Below are 18,669 nucleotides of genomic sequence, written 5' to 3'. Positions count from 1 at the left end.
GATTTATTGCCAAAAGCAAAACAACAAAACTTCCACAGTGCTGAAGGAGACCTGAGTGGTTGCCAGTGGTGACGCGTGGCCTGCTTTTACTCCCTTATTTGGCCCCACCCACATCCTGCTGATTGGTCCATTATACAGAGAGCTGATTGGTCCATTTTACAGACTGCTGATTGGTCGTTTTCTACAGAGTGCTGATTGGTGCGTTTACGAACCTTTAGCTAGACACAAAGCACTGATTGGTGGATTTACAATCCTTCAGCTAGACATAAAAGTTCTCCAAGTCCCCACGTGACCCAGAAGCCCAGGTGGCTTCACCTCTCACTGGGAGACTGAAGCAGGAGAATCGCTTGAACACGGTAGGCGGAGGTTACAGTGAGCTGAGACTGTGCCACTGCATTCCAGCTTGGGTGACAGAGCAAGACTGTCTCAAAAAAAAAAAAAAAATCCAAACGAGCAAAAAGATTATATTTCCACACTCCCTTGCAGTTAGAGTGCAGTCATATGACCTAGGTGCCACCCATCAGATGTCCCTGAGGGAGACCTGAATATTAAAATGAGAAACTTTAAGCTATGGCCTCGGATAGAGAATAGACCTCCTGACAAGCACCATGGAGTTAGAAGCTGGTTCTCCTGGAACCACTGTGATGGTAGATAGTTGTGTTTATACCTAAGCATGCTCAGGGCTAAGTTTTGGGCTGCAGTTGCAGTGGTTTTATTAGAGTAGTTCATGATGTGAACTGAGCATTTTTCCTACCTACATCCTTCCTGACTACGCAGTATCCACATCTGATTTTCTTGCATTCCAGGAGATTTGTGAGCTACCAAAAATCCTTTCTGTTTCAATAAACTAGTGTCTTCTGTTCTTGGTAATCAAGAATTCTGCATGTGCCTTTCATGTGCCAATCACATATTCCCTGCTTGTTAGTGTATTCTAGAAAGAGAGACAGTAAACAAAATTAAAAACATGTCATTGCAGTTGTGGAGTTAAAATGAAAAAAGCATAGGGAGCTATGGAAGATAATGAAGTTTGCAGCTGTGGACCTGTCCTATTCTCCCACCCCAATACTTAGTATCCATTTGGACTGAAGACTAGAGGTAGAAACAATGAGCACTTTGCTTTGATATGAACATTGCTGCCTAGGCCTTTTCTGAAAATATAAAGAAGAGTTTTATTTATTTATTTATTTTTCTATATTTATTTATTTATTTGAGTTTTATTTTTAATCCATTAAATGTCAAAGGATCTAACATTGCTATTAATGAGCATGTATGATAACAGAATATGAAAGCAGTTTAATGCAAAAGGAAAATAGAGTCTACATAACTGCACACTTTTTAGCTGTAATACATCACAGTTCTTAACTCTGACTAAGGAAACACTTAGGTTCTGAGGAGACGTATATCTCTTCTGTGACTATGAATTAAGCACAACACACATAACAACATAGACGATATATGTAATGCATTTATTGAACTATTCATAGCACTTTACATAAAGACCTATGTCTTACTCCTGTTTTGCTTCACATAATTTATTTATTGTAACCAATGTATACACTATACACCTATGCACTCAAGGCTACATAACTGGAACAACTGTGTGCTAAATTCACCTGGAAAAGATTATAAATAATAGATACAAAAATACGTATGGAATTCTATACACCTTTGAAATATGAGATCTACTTTTGATGAACTTTCTGGCCACAGTCAAATTAGGAATGTAATAGACTTCATCTAAAAATCCCATTAAATTCCTAATGGGATTATTGCCTTACCAATTTTAACATAAATGTGCCCTTCCATCAACATATTTCTATAGATAAAAAAGTACAATGTGTTTGAAAAAACATGGGCTTTCAAAAAACATTAAAAAAGAGCTGTGTTTCCATCCCAATGCTTCTGTTTGCTAGCTTTGTGCCCATGACTAGGTTACTTAATTTCTTGGCACGTCATTGCATAATGGGAAAGATAATATTGGTCTACAGGGGTTAGGCTCTAAAACATATTTTTTATTTATTTATTTATTTTTTGAGACGGAGTCTCGCTCTGTCGTCCAGGCTGGAGTGCAGTGGCGTGATTTCTGCTCACTGGAAGCTCCGCCTCCCTGGTTCATGCCGTTCTCCTGCCTCAGCCTCCCGAGTAGCTGGGATTACAGGTGCCCACCACTACGCCAGGCTAATTTTTGTATTTTTAGTAGAGACGGGGTTTCACCGTGTTAGCCAGGATGGCCTTGATCTCCTGACCTCGTGATCCGCCCGACTCAGCCTCCTGAAGTGCTGGGATTACAGGCTTGAGCCACCATGCCGGGCTAAAACATATTTCTTTCCCATTTTCCATTAGTGCCACTCTTACCTTTGGTCCCTCAGAATTTCTAGAAAAATCAGTATTAATTTCATTAATCTGTGAACCAATTAAAGTAGATATTTATCTGTATGCATGTATTTATGTACTTAGATACATGCTACACTAAAACTAAACTTGTAAAATACCTAAAAATACATCTGTATCTAGGAAACATCTACTTTTAAAAAGTAGTGATTAAGCTCCTGTTTGTCATCTGACTTTACAGAGTGATGATTTTATTAGAATAAGTAAGATCGTGAGATTTTTCACTCAGAAGACACATTGAATTACTCTGGACTTCTGCCAGGATATGTAAAACAATAAGAATTTAGTGAAATTTTGAAACCCAAAGACTTATCTATAACCCACAGTTTAGACTATAATCTTATAGCGCTCAGCTCAGACATTCTTCATTAATAATAAAATTATAGACAATCCTAGTTAATATTTTTATACTTGTCTATTAAATAACATAATACACATTTAGAAATTATGGTATATGTAATGTTTTTATTGAACTCTTTATATCATTCTATTTTAACAACTGGACATTTTTCTTAGGGAAAAAGTATATTGATAAAGATAAATATATATGAGTACTTTAATTAAAGTTAAAATTCAGGTTAATTCCAATTGTCAGGAGACAGAGCTAGACTGGGGATTAGATAGGAAGATAGAGATACATGCAAACATGTATGGTGCTGTAGTTTGGTTTATTTGACCCATCAAAATTTCATGTTGAAATTTGGTCCCCATTGTTGGAGGTGGGTCTTGTGGGAGGTGTTTGGGTCATGGGGTTGTATCTCTCATGAATAGATTAATGTCTTCCCTTGGAGGAGGCAGTGAGTGAGTTCTCACTCTATTAGTTCTTGTGAGAGCTGGGTATTGAAAAGAACCTGACCCCTACCCTCTCACTCTTTTGCTTCCTCTCTTGCCATGATTTCTGCACATACCGGATCCCCTTAGTCTTCCCCCATGAGTTCAAGCAGCCTGTGGCCCTTGCCAGATGCAGATGCCCAATCTCAAACTTTTCCAGATTCAGAACCAGAGCCAAATAAACCTTTTTTCAATGAATTACCTAGCCTCCAGTATTCCTTTACAGCAACATAAATGGACTAAAACATATGGCTTTTAGTTTTATAATTTTTACTTGATTCTTATTTATTGATTCCAGTGATATGTTGATGTTCTCCATTTTTCATTTATACTTTTCTGCATACTAATGACAAATATTTTAAAGTCTGTGTCACATAACTACAATATATGGATTTCCTGTGTATCTGTTTCTGTTTTCAATTATTTTCTGTTAATTGTTGACTATTTGAGCTTGTTCACTGGTATACCAAGTACTGTTTTTTAATTTACATGGTGGACATTATCCATGAAAGTTATGGAGAAAATTTCAGACTCTGAATGATTTGATGTTTTCCTAGAGCGTATTCACTTTGGATTTATGCAGGCAGCTACAGTAAGGGCAAATCAGTAGTCTAATAGGAACAGAGATGAAGCTGTGTTTCAATCTTTGTAAGGACTGGTATATTTCCATTTGACTTTACTCCTAGCATGTAAGCCTTTCAGGAATCCCGATTGATAGCCTGGATGTTTACCGAGGTCTCTCCTCTTTTGAAAGCTCTAAACTCAAATTTTTGTTGCCCTAATTCTATTATATCAAACTGCCTAAGGGTCTTCTCAGCTTCTCAGTCTCTGTCACTGATTTCTAGCTTCCCAGTCTTTTAGTTATCTGTTGTAAGTTTACAAATAACTCCAGGGAAAAGTGACACCAAATCTTGAGCTCATTATTCTTTATTCCCCTTCTCTCCAGGACCTTGGACTTTCAAGTCTTCACTGCTTTGATAACTTTCCAATGCCTTCAAAGACTTGATTTCCATATTTCCTACTTTTTTTAGTTGTTTTCAATGGGAAGGTTGGTCTGAAATGAGCTGGTCCACACTAAATGGAATTTGCCTGTGTTCTTCAGCTCTTGCTGATTCAAAATTTGATTAACTAGTTTGCAAATTAGCTGTGGTTTAAAAATAATAAAAAGTTTACTTAAAATATATATACAGAAAATATTTTAAGCATTTTCATAGTAGAAGAGGTTGTTGGTACTGTTTACAAAGCAGCATATTCTACGTAATATTACTGCAACACAAGATGCTTTTGTCTTCCAGAAAAAAAATACATAAATATTTCTTCTCCTATAAATACCCTCTTCTGAGTTCTTCTAAGCCACAGTCAAGCAAAAAGTGAAGGCAAGAGAGAGCTAAATAAGGAGCTGCTAATACCAAAGCAAGGACAATGATGCTGAATGAGTTTGGTGAAGAGAGAAAGGGAGAAAGAAAGGACATGAAACTCAACACACATCTCTGCTCTACTTGCTTCTTGTTTTATTGTTTTTTTAAAAACAGGCTCAGCTAAAAAATACCAACACAGACATTTTAATAGAGAAACTGTCTGCATTTTTTTGGTCAAGAAATTTCTTTGATGTTGACTGGTTCTAAATATTTTTCCTTTGATGTGTTTGGATTCAGATTTAGAAATATAATTGTGTCCCCAAATATGATTACATTAATGACTTTAACTAGGATTCCATTATATCTATTTATACCACATTTGAAAAGTTTTGTTTTTCATGTACACATGCTTGATTTGAAAGCAACCAAAGACAGGAGTTGATTTTTTTTTTTTTAAAGAAGGGAATGATAAAACGGAGCTAAAAATATTTGTGTCTGGAGCTACATTTCAGATTCTATAGTCTTAAATGATTCATTAGATCTTATAATTCCTCATAGTCCTAATCAGGAATACAAAAATAATATAACAAAGAAAGCATGAGAATCTAACAGGGCTGCTACACTGCACAGCTCTTAGAGGTACCAGCGGAGTGCTGTGTGCATGGTATCTTCTGAAGTATTGCAGAGCAGTGGCCCTGGGTCTAAGGCTAACATCTAGTCTGGTGGTTCTCTAACCTAATTATATATCAGAATGCACTTGGTGTGCTTTTGAAGAACACTGACTTCAGACCTACCCAACTGAAATCTGAAAGACTGGGGATTCAGAGGACTGTCTTTATATTTCTGAAAGTTACCCAGTTATTTTTACAGTACAGCTGACTTTAGAAACTTCTGGTTAAATTACTTCTCATCTCTGTTTCTAAAATATACTTATAGGATTAGATTTTTCTTGTTTTTAGGCAACATCATTAATTGGAGACTTTCCTTATCTTCTATCAATAATCCACTTCAATCACTGACAACTTTTTCCACAAAAATTCTTTATATCTTATCTAATATAATTCAGCTACAAATTAAGCTTTGTAAATAGTCTCCAATGAAACCATAAAGGCAGACAGATCACACTTCTATAATTTTTATTTTTAAATATGAAATATTTTAAATGTGTAGAAAAGCACTAACAATAATGTAACATATTTATGATCAGCCATATATGTCCCAGTTTTGTCTCTTTCCAATTAAAAAAAAAAATCAGCTCTAGCCCTGCATCATCTTTTTCCATTTCCCATCTCCCCAGAGGTTATCATTATCTTGAAATTGGTGCTTATCATTCCCACACATAGTTTAGTAATCATACTATATGTATATATAGTTAATCCCAATCATTTGTGGATTTCATATTTGTAAATTTGCCTACTCTCTAAGACTTACTTGCAGCTCCAAAATCAATACTTGTGAAGCTTTTGCAGTCATTTGCAAACGTGCACAGAGCAGTGAGAAATTTAAGTTGTTCAACGTGCACATCCCTAACTGAGATTAAGCAAGGTGGCGCTCTGCCTTCTTGTATCAACTTTCATCCTGTACACAAGCACTTTTTTTTTGTGATCTATTTAGTACCACATTTTGAGCTGTTTGTTGGTGATTTTGCTGTTTAAAATGGCTTCTGACGGTCAGGGTGATCAGATGTCAAAGTGGGAGATTCTCTCTCTACGGACTTAGCAGGATTCTTGTTAAATGTGAGCTATGGAGACCAGGCAAGGAATAGGGGCCTAGGTGGAGATCTAGTTGAGAGGAGAGCTCAAAAATCTGACTAAAGTTTGATCAAGGAGAGAGTCTTTGTCAGTATCTGTGGCAATTTTTTTAAATTACTGAAAGTGAGGCTTATTTACATTCTTCAAGACTTACCAATTAATAAGCTCTCTTAAAATCTCCAGTTTTAATGTCTGTCTGTTCCAAGTGTAGTCCTGAAATACTGTCAAGTATTCCTAAGTGCAAGAAGGCCACAATGTGCCTCTTGGAGAAATATGAGTTAAATAAGCTTCATTCAGGCTTGAGATATAATGCTATTGCTTGTAAGTTCAATGTAATGTATCAACAATGTATATTAAATAAGGTGTCTTTAAAAATAAATACACATAACACAAAGTTATATTCATCTGTTGATGAAAATGTTATGACCAGAGGCTTGCAGGAACCTAACCCCATATTTTCCCCAGGAGCAATGGTTCACTATTTGCTAATTCAGTATTCATGGCAACTTCATAGAATATGTTAGAAGCAAAATGCTTGTTCCTTGGTGCTGCAAAGAAATAGTGCTCGAACATTAATTTTCTCAGCAAGGCAATTTTTACTTCTATAGAAGGGTACGACTTGCAGATGGAGTAATGGCGGGAACACACCTGGACAAGGGAGGGGAAGGGGTTCTTATTCCTGACACAGGTAGCCCATACTGCTGTGTCATTCCCCTATTGGCTAGGGTTGGACCACACAGTCTATGCTAATTCCGTTTAGCTATTTTAAAGAGAGCAGAGGTACAAGCCAGAGTGGCAGGGTGAGTAGTTTGACAGAAAGGGTGGTTAGAGAACAGGTGACTCAGGATGATTCAGGTCAGAGCAGGTGACCAGGGGTGACTCAGGTCAAAGCAGGTGACCAGAGGAACAGATATGAACTACTGATTAGAACTGGTGGGAAAGTTGTTTACTGAAACTAGAGGCAAGCAGGTAAAGAGAACCAGGAAGTTAAACTTTAAAATGGAGAATCAAAGAATAAGAGAGCTGAACATACTGACATACTGATTCTTTGAAGAGAAACTTGGAGTTCACTATATCTAACAAGTATAACTACCATAAATAATGGGAATCAACTCTACTTACAAATAATAAATGGTATTGTTTTATGCATTGTAGGTTTAAATAGTTTATCTACCTATCCTTTTGTTACCTTTTTCCATTCCACACTATACTGTTGAGATTTATACATATCTAATTCTTTCATTTTAACCTGTAAAATCTGTACAAAAATACTACAGTTTTTTTATCCTTACCACTACAATCAGATTGTTTTCAATTTTTGTCAAACAATGGTACACTACATTACTTTACACATGCATATGCATGAGAGTGTTTCTTTGGTACATTTCTAGAAGGCCACAGTTCTTCAGTTGGTGTTGTTTCAAATACTTCAGAGAAATCATTAACTTAATCCCAATATCTCTTCTTCAGAGTCATGCAATATATCCTAATTGTTTACATTAGTTTGTAAACTGAATGCTTTTCAGCAAATCATAGCCTTAATCTCAGTTTACAAATGAAAGTCACTGGCCACAGAACAAAACAGACAACAAAAAAAGGCTTTATATTGATTATGTGAATATTAAAAATATTAGCAGAATAATTATTCTCAGTACATAATCAAGGACTTCATTTTACCCATATCTCTATAACACCACGTCACTGCCATTTTTCTGAAGAATGTATTTTTTAAAGTTTCTTTTTGTAAGGAAGTTGCTTCAAAATTGCATTTTACAATTATTATGTTTAAAATTGTTGACACCTTCAGTTAACTCTTCACAGCAGATCAAACTATTAGATTGAATAATGTGCAATTAATTATAATATGACACTGCAGATTTTCTGAATTACATTTTTAAAAATGTATGATCTAATTATTTAATGTTTTTCTACAAAATTGCCTTTAATCATCTTTAAAGTTGCATTTTGTAGTTAATACATTTCAAATATCTGATAACTTCAGTTGAGAATTCTGGGTATACCATAATAATTAATTGAAACTTGTGGAATTTCTGATATTTGACTTTCTTTCACCTACCAAAGAATGGCTCTTTCAGATGATGTGATGTAATATTTTTATTGAGAAAATATTATGTTTATGTGTTGAACTGATAAACTCAGGGTCAATTCTTACACATGTGAAATATTTTTTGTATTCTAATATATGTGTGTGTATACATACACATATATCAGTGTATGTATAACCTTTTTTTTTTTTTTTTTTTTTGAGATGAAGTCTTGCTCTGTTGCCCAGGCTGGAGTGCAGTGGCACGATCTCAGCTCACTGTAAGCTCCGCCTCCTGGGTTCATGCCATTCTCCTGCCTCAGCCTCCCGAGTAGCTGGGACTACAGGCGCCCGCCACTACGCCCGGCTAATTTTTTGTATTTTTAGTAGAGACGAGGTTTCACCATGTTAGCCAGAATGGTCTCGATCTCCTGACCTCGTGATCCACCCACCTTGGCCTCCCAAAGTGCTGGGATTACAGGTGTGAGCCACCATGCCAAGCCTCTAATATATTTTAAAAGGAAAAAAGTTAAAAATCAATTATCTAAAAAATCTAGAAAATAGCAAATTAAATCATAATAGAAAGGATGTTCTTTAATCTGATTGACAAAAACTTCAGAAATCTTACAGCATGCATCAAAATTAAAGGTAAAAATTTAAGCTTTCCCACTGGTATTGAGAATGAGAAAAGGAAGTCTATCATCACCACTTCCATTCAATGATGCACTGAGGTTCCGTCCAGTGCAATAACACAATAAAATTAATAAAAGATAAAGAGTTGTGAAGGAATAAGTAAAACTGTCATCATTTGTAGATAACGTAATTGTGATTGTAGAAAACAATAAAAAATGTACAGATAAACTGTTAAAGTCAATTTAGCAAGATGGCTAGATTCTAGGTCAATATACAGAAATCATTTGTGTTTCTAATTAGAGATAAGCACTTAGAAAATGAAAGTTTAAATAGCATAATTAAAATATTATTAAAAAGCACATCAACTAGTTATAGGAATAAATCATTTGGTTGAATATATTCCAAATTCCTATTATAATTTTGTCATAAAGCTACATTTTTTTCTTATTAGTATAGTTACTTCAACATTATTTCAGCTAGCGTTTTTACAATTTATCTTTTTCCATCCTTTTACTTTCAAATTTTTGGTTGTTATAGTGAATATTTTATTTTTATATAGTCTGCAGTGTTAGAATATTAACTGGAAATGTTTACACCATTTACATATTATAATTGTGATATATTCAGTTTAAAACTATCATCTTACTTTTTTTTGTTTGATCAGTTTTTTTTTTCTTTTCTTCTTTTGGATGAATTATTTTTATCATTTTATCATTCCATTTCCTTTTCTTGTTGATTGTTCGTGTTCTATTATGCCCTTAGTATTAGGTATTATGTATATCCTTAGTCTACCCTAGGTATTATATATACCCTTAGTATACCCTAGGTATTATGAAAAACAAGTAGCTTTATTAGACTCTAAGATAAGTTAGTAATTTTAGTACTTCTCAGACAATAAAAGGATTTGGTAATACTTTAAATCCATTTACCAGCCTCTCATCTTTTCACAATTGTTGCTATGTACTTTTTGTTTATATATGTTTTAAACCTCACAAGACATTATTAATCATTGATTTAAACATCCGTATTCATTTATATTTACCTTCTTATTTACTCTTTCTGGAGCTATATATTTTTTCACACAATATTGTGCCTCTATGTAGGATCATTTTCCTGTTGGTAGAAGAAATCTCTTTGGTATTTCTTTCTAGGCGGGCCTCTTGGCAAAGCATTCACTCTGCGTATGTTTGTTAGAAAAGTCTCTATCTCTTATTCAAAAACTTTTTTTTGGAAATATATTTTTAAAACATCAGAAATAGCATTTTTGATTAACATTTTTACTGATTACAGAATTCTTCATTAGCGTTTAGTTCTCAGCACTTTAAAGGTGCCATTTGATTACCTTCTGGCTTTCATTAATCTTGTTGAGAAATCAGCTGTTTGTATTACCTTTGCTCCCTTTGAAAGCCATATGTCTTTTATTCTGAGTGGTTTTAGATTATTTTCTTTATGTTTAATTTTCAGCAGTTTCACTTCGGTGTGACTAGATGTGGTTTTCTTGGACCTTATCTTACGTGTGGTGTCTTGGATCTGTGAATTGACATGTATTTTCTTAGAACTTTTCTTACATGGGGTTTCTTGGACCTGTGGCTTGATTTGTATTTTCTTTTACCTGTATCTTACATGGCGTTTTTTGGATCTGTGGCTTGTTATGTATTTTCCGTTTCTTTTTCTTTCTGTGCTTCGGTTTGAATATTTTTTACTGATCCATCTTCCATGTCCTTAATCATACCTTCGGTTTTGCCGAGTCTTATGCCGAGTCTTATTTTAATTCTTTATATCGGTGATTGTATTTTTCAGTTTTATAATTTTCAGTTGATTTTTTATAGATACTCTCACTGGTGAAAAATTCTATCTTTTTATCCATTTTCTTCAATATATTTACGATAACTAAAAAAAAAAACTTTCTTTGATAACTGAGTCCTTAGATGCCTGGCAATTTTTCTTGAATTACAAAGTTTTTAATAAAATTACATAAGCTGTAGATAGTTTTATACCTCATCAGAGAAAATTCACTTTTCTTCTAGAGAGAAATTAGAGTAAAAGAGGATCATTTCAATCCAATCAGTTATGGGGATGGCTCAATGCCAAGTTTCAGGCTTGCCAATTTCCAGTTTTCTCTTATTCCTAAGGAATAGTCCTACTGGGTTCTGAACTATCAACTGAAAGCCTGAATATTTACCAGGCATATCCTTTTTGGTGGATCCAGGGCAGAAAGTCCTCTTTTAGCCTTTAAGACTGTGAAAGTCTATAGTCTAGCCGGTTTCTGTTAGGTTTCTTCCTAACTTTTCCCCACACAGTTGGGGATTTGGCATATGCTTCAAGGGAAAATGTCGGCTCATTGTTGGATTCACTTCTCTAAGATTCCTCGCTAGGTTAAAATCCCTTTTTATTACACCAGTTCCTTTGGTATTCCTTTTTTTTTTTTTTCCTCTTGGTAACTTATCCCATTATTTTTATTTCTTTTAATATTCTCCATATCCTCTGTTCTGACCTCAACGCTTCCTTATTACTCCTTTCAAACTCAATATTCCTCAGTTCCTACTAACTATTCAATAGCATTCCAATACTACCAGACCAACCAGTTTCTTCTCATCAACTCCTAGAGCAATGTGTTCTTCTAATATTTTGCATATACTCCCATTCTTTTAGCCTTCCCAAGTCTCTTTGCTTATTTCTTTAAATCTCAGTCTCTCCCAGTAAATAGTGAGGGAATTTTTTATTTTAGCAGCAATACCCCCTAAAAGTCCTCAGCAATAGTCAGCACTGTACCTGGTACATAATAGTTGCTCAACAAAGATCTGCTCATTGGACGAATCAATTAATAGCAGACAGTATAAATTTCTAGACCTGGGGAGTACTTTAATCCTACTGTTTCTCAAAAGAGGGGCAGAAATCAAGCAAAAAGAAAGTTACGGAGGCAATGGAGGGGAATCGTTGTTTTTCTGCCTTTGCCCTTTCTTTAATGTTAAGCTCTTCGAATGGCATGTAATTGCGTTCACTTTATTTTGGCCCACAACATACCCTACTACAAAGATGAATAAGAAATGTCTTTCAGATGTTTGCCTCTTCCTTGTATCTTGATTAAACATTTGAAAATTTGTATAAATAGATAAGTCAGAGACTTAACTCTCTTTGCATATTTTAACTGATCATATCTGCAGGTGTTCAGTGTCCTAAGTAAATATATCAAATAATCTAAGGACATTATATTTGCATAACTGAAACTAGTGCCTTTTGATTTTTGCATAACTACCTGCCTTCAGCAGAATCCTAACCAGACAAATACTTCTGCAACAAAGAAAACTGGCTGAAGGTTAAAACTGTCTTCTTTCTCAAACATTTGTATAGTACAGTTCTAAACTATACAAATGTTTGAGAAAGAAGAAAATAATTTTCATAAGAAAATTATGAAATAATTGTGTGTTCAGAGGTGAGAGCACTTATGTAAATTATTTAAGGGTATGCACACAAAAGGATAGCAGGTTCCACATCTTTGGAATCTGGAATATAGTATATACCAAAAGAATTAAGAAATAGCACTTTCCATGCTTATGTATATTAGTTCTTTGTTTCCTGAGAGGATGGTGAAATAAATCAGCTGGGAAATTGTGAATGTGATCACTCAAAACAAAACTCTACAGCAATTTAAAAGTGAATCCTCCTTCCCCTTCTCTGTTTTCTATGGTAACCATAACAACCAGTTCCTTTCAGAGAGGTCAATTACTAAAAATAGTATGATCCATATATTACTTAACATGATCATCTATAAAGTACACTTTGGACAATATTTTTTATAAAAATTTTTGAAGACTGTGAAATATCCTCAAATTACTGATTAAAAGAAGAAAAAATATATAGGAGGATCTGGAAAATCAAATGGAAAAGACATGTTGGAATATAAGCATGAACGAATACAAGCATGTTAGAATATAAGACAGGTTAGAATATAAGTCATCACCTTTATATGCATGATTACTAACTCACAGGATTTGGTAAATGATTTATCCTCAAAAGCATGAAGATAGCTCATTTTGGAAAAATATTATAAGTGTTATTAAGATTATTTATTGAAACTGTAACAACAAAAGGAGACTTTTTTGTGGCTCTAATCATATATGCCATATGCCTTGAGGCCATCTGTTAGAAAAGTCTATAGATGAAATCACCATCAAGAAGCCAGCTCTGCCACGGACCAGCTAAATAACTTTGGGGAAGTCACTTAATATACCTGGACTTCAGAATTTTAATTTATAAAATGGGCTTGATAAGGTCTTCTTTATATACTGATGCTCAAAGCCAAATGATATACTTACTGCATTGGAACACACTTAAAGAGTAGGGTACCTATAAGATAAAATCCAGTATAGTGTAGTTATTAAAAGGTGGCATTTGGGTTATGCTGGTGTAGGTTAAAACCTGACTGAACAACATACTATCTATTGACTATGGCCTAGCTACTTAATAATGGAAATCTTTAGTTTCTCACCTACAAAATAAGAATAAATCATACACAACTCTTAGGAAATCATGACATGTATGAAGTTCTAGCTAAGATTAATATTATTATTATTCTAAATTGATGTTTATTCAATAAGTAGAATATATAATAACTAATGATAACAGTATAGTGACTGTAATTACTATATTAGGACTACCACTGAGTTACATAGAAATGGCATCTTTGAGTTATACAATCTGGGAATGAAGGTGTAGAGAATGTTAAGGGTCCCAAATACTTAATATTGGTGTGACTTTTTAGAGGAAAGAGGCAAAAAGCAAAGATTTTTTGGTAAAATTTAAAAATCTGTTACTTCTAAGTCATTGCTTAAATTGTTTAATAATATATTGACTATAATGTAGAACTGAATCTTGTTTGTGTTAATAATAATTCCAAAGCAATTTTCCTTCATCCTCTCTTTTTTTAGCTATTAATACATTACATGAAGGAATTACTGGATACCTACAATCTTAAAATATTTGGTTTTCAAAGATAATACTTCATGATCTTTGCTTAGGTCAAAGTAAATGTTAAACTAAGCCACAGTATCTTACTTTCTTAAAAACTAAAGTTTGATTGTTTGTTTGTTTGTTTGTTTGTTTGTTTGAGACAGGGTCTCACTCTTTCACACAGGCTGGAGTGCAGTGGCAAGATCTCCCCTCACCGCAACCTCCACCTCCCAGGCTCAAGCAGTCTTCCCACCTCAGCCTCCCAATTAGCTGGGACTACCGGTGTGAGCCACCAGGCCCAGATAATTTTTGTATTTTTTTAGAGATGGGATTTCACTGTGTTGCCCAGGTTTGTCTCAAACTCCTGCACTCAGGTGATCCACCTGCCTCGGCCTCCCAAAGTGCTGCGATTACAGGCGTGAACCACTATGCCCAGCCAAGTTTGATATTTTTTGCAGCAAATTTTCAGGGACCAAATTGAGATGAAACAAGTCGAATCCAATTTCATCCAATTAGAGAAACATTAGTTTTTAATTTCTTTAAGTTATATTTTCCTTTTGTAAACCGATCTTTGCTTCTCTGGGACTCAGTATCAGTGAGGATAAGGCTGAGAAAGGATCAGATCATTTCCACTTATTTATCACTGTATAGAAAAAAACCCTTTGTGATTATTCAATAATTCAAAATTTAAAAAAAACCTGCAACCACATCTGAGCTTCAGTTTAACATTAGTTCTGAACAAAAGTTTTGCTAATATCAAGAGAAGAATAAATATCCCAGAAAAATATTTGTCCTGCTCAGAATACTTCCAAAACCCTGTGTGGGCAGCACTCCCTTCTGGACTTGATGAGTTTGTGCTTTGATATGTCCCAGCTTCAGAGACTGAACAGAAGGTCAGAGATAGATTCAAACTTAGGTACCTTGCAGGAGGTGTTATATTTTGAGTGTGTATGTGTGTATGAAAGGTATAGCAAAGTCTTCGTTGAAAGAGGTGGGACCCGAGTTAGGGGACTCAAAAAGAGCAACTCAATATTGGTTTCTTTCCTACGGGAATACGAGTGACAGCTGACCAAGCACATAAAAATATTTAGCAAGCCGAGGTTGAAGAGTATATGTCTGATACACATGTCTTAATAATTGTTTTATTTTCTCAGTGGTGTTCAATATTCCAGTAATAGAAGGGGCAAATTCAGAAGGATTCATCAGAGACTGGGTCTTGCAGAACAGTAGAAAGGACAGAGGAACAAAGAGAGTAAGGCTGATGACAAGAGTGGGTCTAAAGGCGGGCATAGGCATAAGACAGAAGTGATGTTAAGTTCAGGAAGGAAAGGGTAGCGAAGGTTTGGGAGCACAAGCTAAGTGTTTATTCCACACTATTGTACTGTTTTTCTCAACAGTATGTGGTTTTAGGCTCTATAATTACTTCATGTAAAGCTCCTTGTTTTTTTTATTCCCAGTGAGCACCAGGAATCAATTGCCTCAATTAATTTGCAGAGTATTGACCAGATAAGCCAAGTAATTTTGAATAAGTATGTAGTACTTGTAATGCACTTGAAAGAATTACTTTACTTAACATTCAATCTTACCTGTCAATGTTGAAAAGTAATTATAGGACTCACACAATTCAGTAACTATTTTGTACCCCCCAAAACAAAGACTCAGTATGTATGAAACTTAATAGGGAAACCATTTTTTAGCAAAGCAAGATGCTCATTCACTTTTTGTAGTAATGGAACAGCTTATAAAATTTGGGTTCCAGAAACTACATGATACAAGAAGCTGTATTGTGGTTCTATAGGTTGAAAGTTGAATGTTATTTCTGTTTCATGAGATTACTCCAAAATAAATTGTACTTTACTGCTTTATGAAGGCAAAATGAATCTATGTGAAGCTTTTCAGGGTGACAGTAACAGAGATTCACTCAGGATACCTCAAATTGAATATGTGATTATTATGATAGTACAAGTGGAAATAAGGGCGGTTCCAATCTGGGCCATACATTGGGCATTATGGAAATGGAACAAATAGTACAGTTGATTTTGTGGAGACTGGCTCATGGCCCAGGAACTGGAAGGTTATTCATTGTCTAGTTGGCACTGGTGAGCCGGTTATCTCATAGCTCCACAGCAGCAGAGAGTCATTAATTCCTGATTTTTGAGCTGCTACCAACCATCTCACACTCTATTCTGTGTATTTTTCTGCTTCTTCCTCACAGTTTCCGTTGCCTCATGGGCTCTGTACACACAGCTCATTGTCGACTTTTCTCATATGTATCAACTGTTTCCTCTCTACTCCAACTTATTTTTTACTCCTTCTCTCCCTCCCCCAACCCCTCTTTCGGTCTAGCTATATCTCTCTCATTATTTATTTGGCTAACTAATATCCCATTTAGTCTTTTTTTATGAGATTAGTCTGATTGGTTCCTGGATCACTGCTGTCTATACTTGGCAGAATTTGCACTCCAGGCTACTTCACAGAATCTAGCTAGTCTAGAGATTTGCTGTTATTTTATCAATAACTCCACCATGAATACACACACACACACACACACACACACACACACACACACACACGCCAAAGTCCCAGTCAATGAGGTGGTAAAATTTATATGTATCAACATAGTAACTTTAGTGAAAAAAACTCTTTGTCCATTTTGTATTGTTATAACAGAATATCAGAAATGGGGTAATTTATTTTAAAAAAAGGTTTATTTAGTTCATGGTTCTGCAGGCTAGGAAGTTCAAGGGCGTGGCCTTGGCTTCTGGTGAGGGCTTACTGTGCTGCATCATAACACGGTGGAGAAGGTCAAAGGGGAAGTGGATACATGAGAAGAGGCAAAACCCGAGGAATATCCTGGCTTTATAAGAATCCACTCTCACAGAAACTGATCCATTCTCACAAGAACTAATCCAGTCTCACCTGAGAGAGAACTCTCTCACTACTGGGAATGGCATTGAGCCATTCATGAGGAATCTGTCCCCATGACCTAAATACCTGCCACTAACTCCTACCTTCCAATGCTGCCACATTAGAGATCAAATTTCAACATGAATTTTGGAGGAGACACACTCAAACAGTAGCTGACTTCTTGAAAGGGAGACTATGGTCAAAACTGCAGAGAAGGGAACTATGGATGGAGCAGGCATTTTTAGGGTTGGACTGAAAGTAGAATCATAGTCTCACAAATGAACATATGGTTTGGTTCAGAGTCATATAAATCTAAAATAAGGTAACTGGCCTATTTTGAGTGGAAGATACAAAGAGAAGTAGAAGGACAAAAAGTGAGACTAGTAGAGGCATATTTTAAAAAATGCCTTAACATCTAGATACGAAGTTTAAGTTTTATTATGTAGTCATTAAAGTGGCATTAAAAGATTTCAAACAATAAGTTGATGAAGGCAGAATTTAAGAAAGGCCAACCTGGAAGATGTACAAATGATGGAGAGGAGAGCAAGAACTTGAAAAGAAGAAGGTCATTTGTAATTATAACATAATTATAATAGTGTAATGCTAGTCACTCAACAAATATTTCTTAAGTACATACTACATACCAGCATGTACCACATGCTAGAAATACAAAGGTTAGCAATGTGGCATGGTCCTTGCTATGATGGAGCTTACATTCTGGTAGAAGACATAGAAAAGGCAGTGGCAATACTGGACAATAAAGGTTATCATAGGAAAAGTGTAGAGTGCTGGAGTAGCACATCAGAGGGTTACCCAAACATGGCTGGAAGCACAAGGAAGGCTTCCTTAAATGGAATATTATCGAAATTGAGTCCTATGAGCTAAGTAGAAATGATTCCAGCAGAGGATCAGATTGAGGGGAAAAGGGTAAGAGGCTCAGTTCCAGGACAAAGAATAGTTTGCTAAACAAAAAAGAACAATATTATTGCTTATTAGTTATTCTTAAGTAACATTTGAAAGAAAGGTTAGGATTGTTATTCTCCAATGATAGAATAACCTGATGGGACTTGATAAAGTTAGTTACATTTTTCATCTTATAAAAGAGACTACACTAAGCAGTTTTGCCTGATTAACCAGCCTAATAGAGAAGACAGGCTTTGGTTTGATTTTAAACACCAAATGTTCAGCATTCTGCTGGAAGCAGGAGATACAGTTCTGCCTGAGATAGACACCCCCTCCCCAGCAGAGACTTCCAAGACAGTGGGGAAGGCAAACAAGCAATTAGAGTAAGTGTGAGAAATTTCTGAACACCAGAAGGGCCTGAGATGGTAGCCCATTGGAGGAGAAGCCTACACATTCTTGGGTATAAATCTTTGTGCATTCTTATAGATAAGTACAAGTTAGCTGCTTAAAGAAATGAAAGAAGATTATTGCACCAGATAGAATGAAAACTATGTGTATGTGACCAGACGCAAAAGACTACAGAACTATTGAGAGATTGTAAAGCAGGAGAAAAAGTCATTTCTGTGCTTCCCCCACAGAAAGGAAAACCTCATTTATGCCTTATTTAACTGAATTGAGAGGGTTTTGTTGTTGTTGTTGTTATTGTTGTTGTGATAAAGAAGAGCCTCTTCCTCTTTCAAGTACCATCTTCACATGATATTCAGAGCTGGTGGGTTAACATTCATGAAACTTGAGACATTTTCTGTGGAAATTTTATACATTTATAAATTCTGATATTCAGAGTTGGTGGGTTAATTTCATTCATGGAACTGCTGAGACATTTTCTGTGGAAATTTTATAA

General features: G+C 35.3%; 1 protein-coding gene across 2 annotated transcripts in view; it reads left to right on the top strand.

Annotated features, from left to right (window-relative positions):
- The window catches only part of NREP (neuronal regeneration related protein), a 248,131-nt gene that overhangs the window by 150,531 nt on the left and 78,931 nt on the right, over positions 1 to 18,669 (top strand). The gene's annotated exons all lie outside the window — the stretch shown is intronic.

Source organism: Homo sapiens, chromosome 5, assembly GCF_000001405.40.
Source record: "Homo sapiens chromosome 5, GRCh38.p14 Primary Assembly".
In the NCBI taxonomy this organism is placed as follows: domain Eukaryota; kingdom Metazoa; phylum Chordata; class Mammalia; order Primates; family Hominidae; genus Homo; species Homo sapiens.
This window is presented reverse-complemented; position numbering and strand designations above follow the sequence as displayed.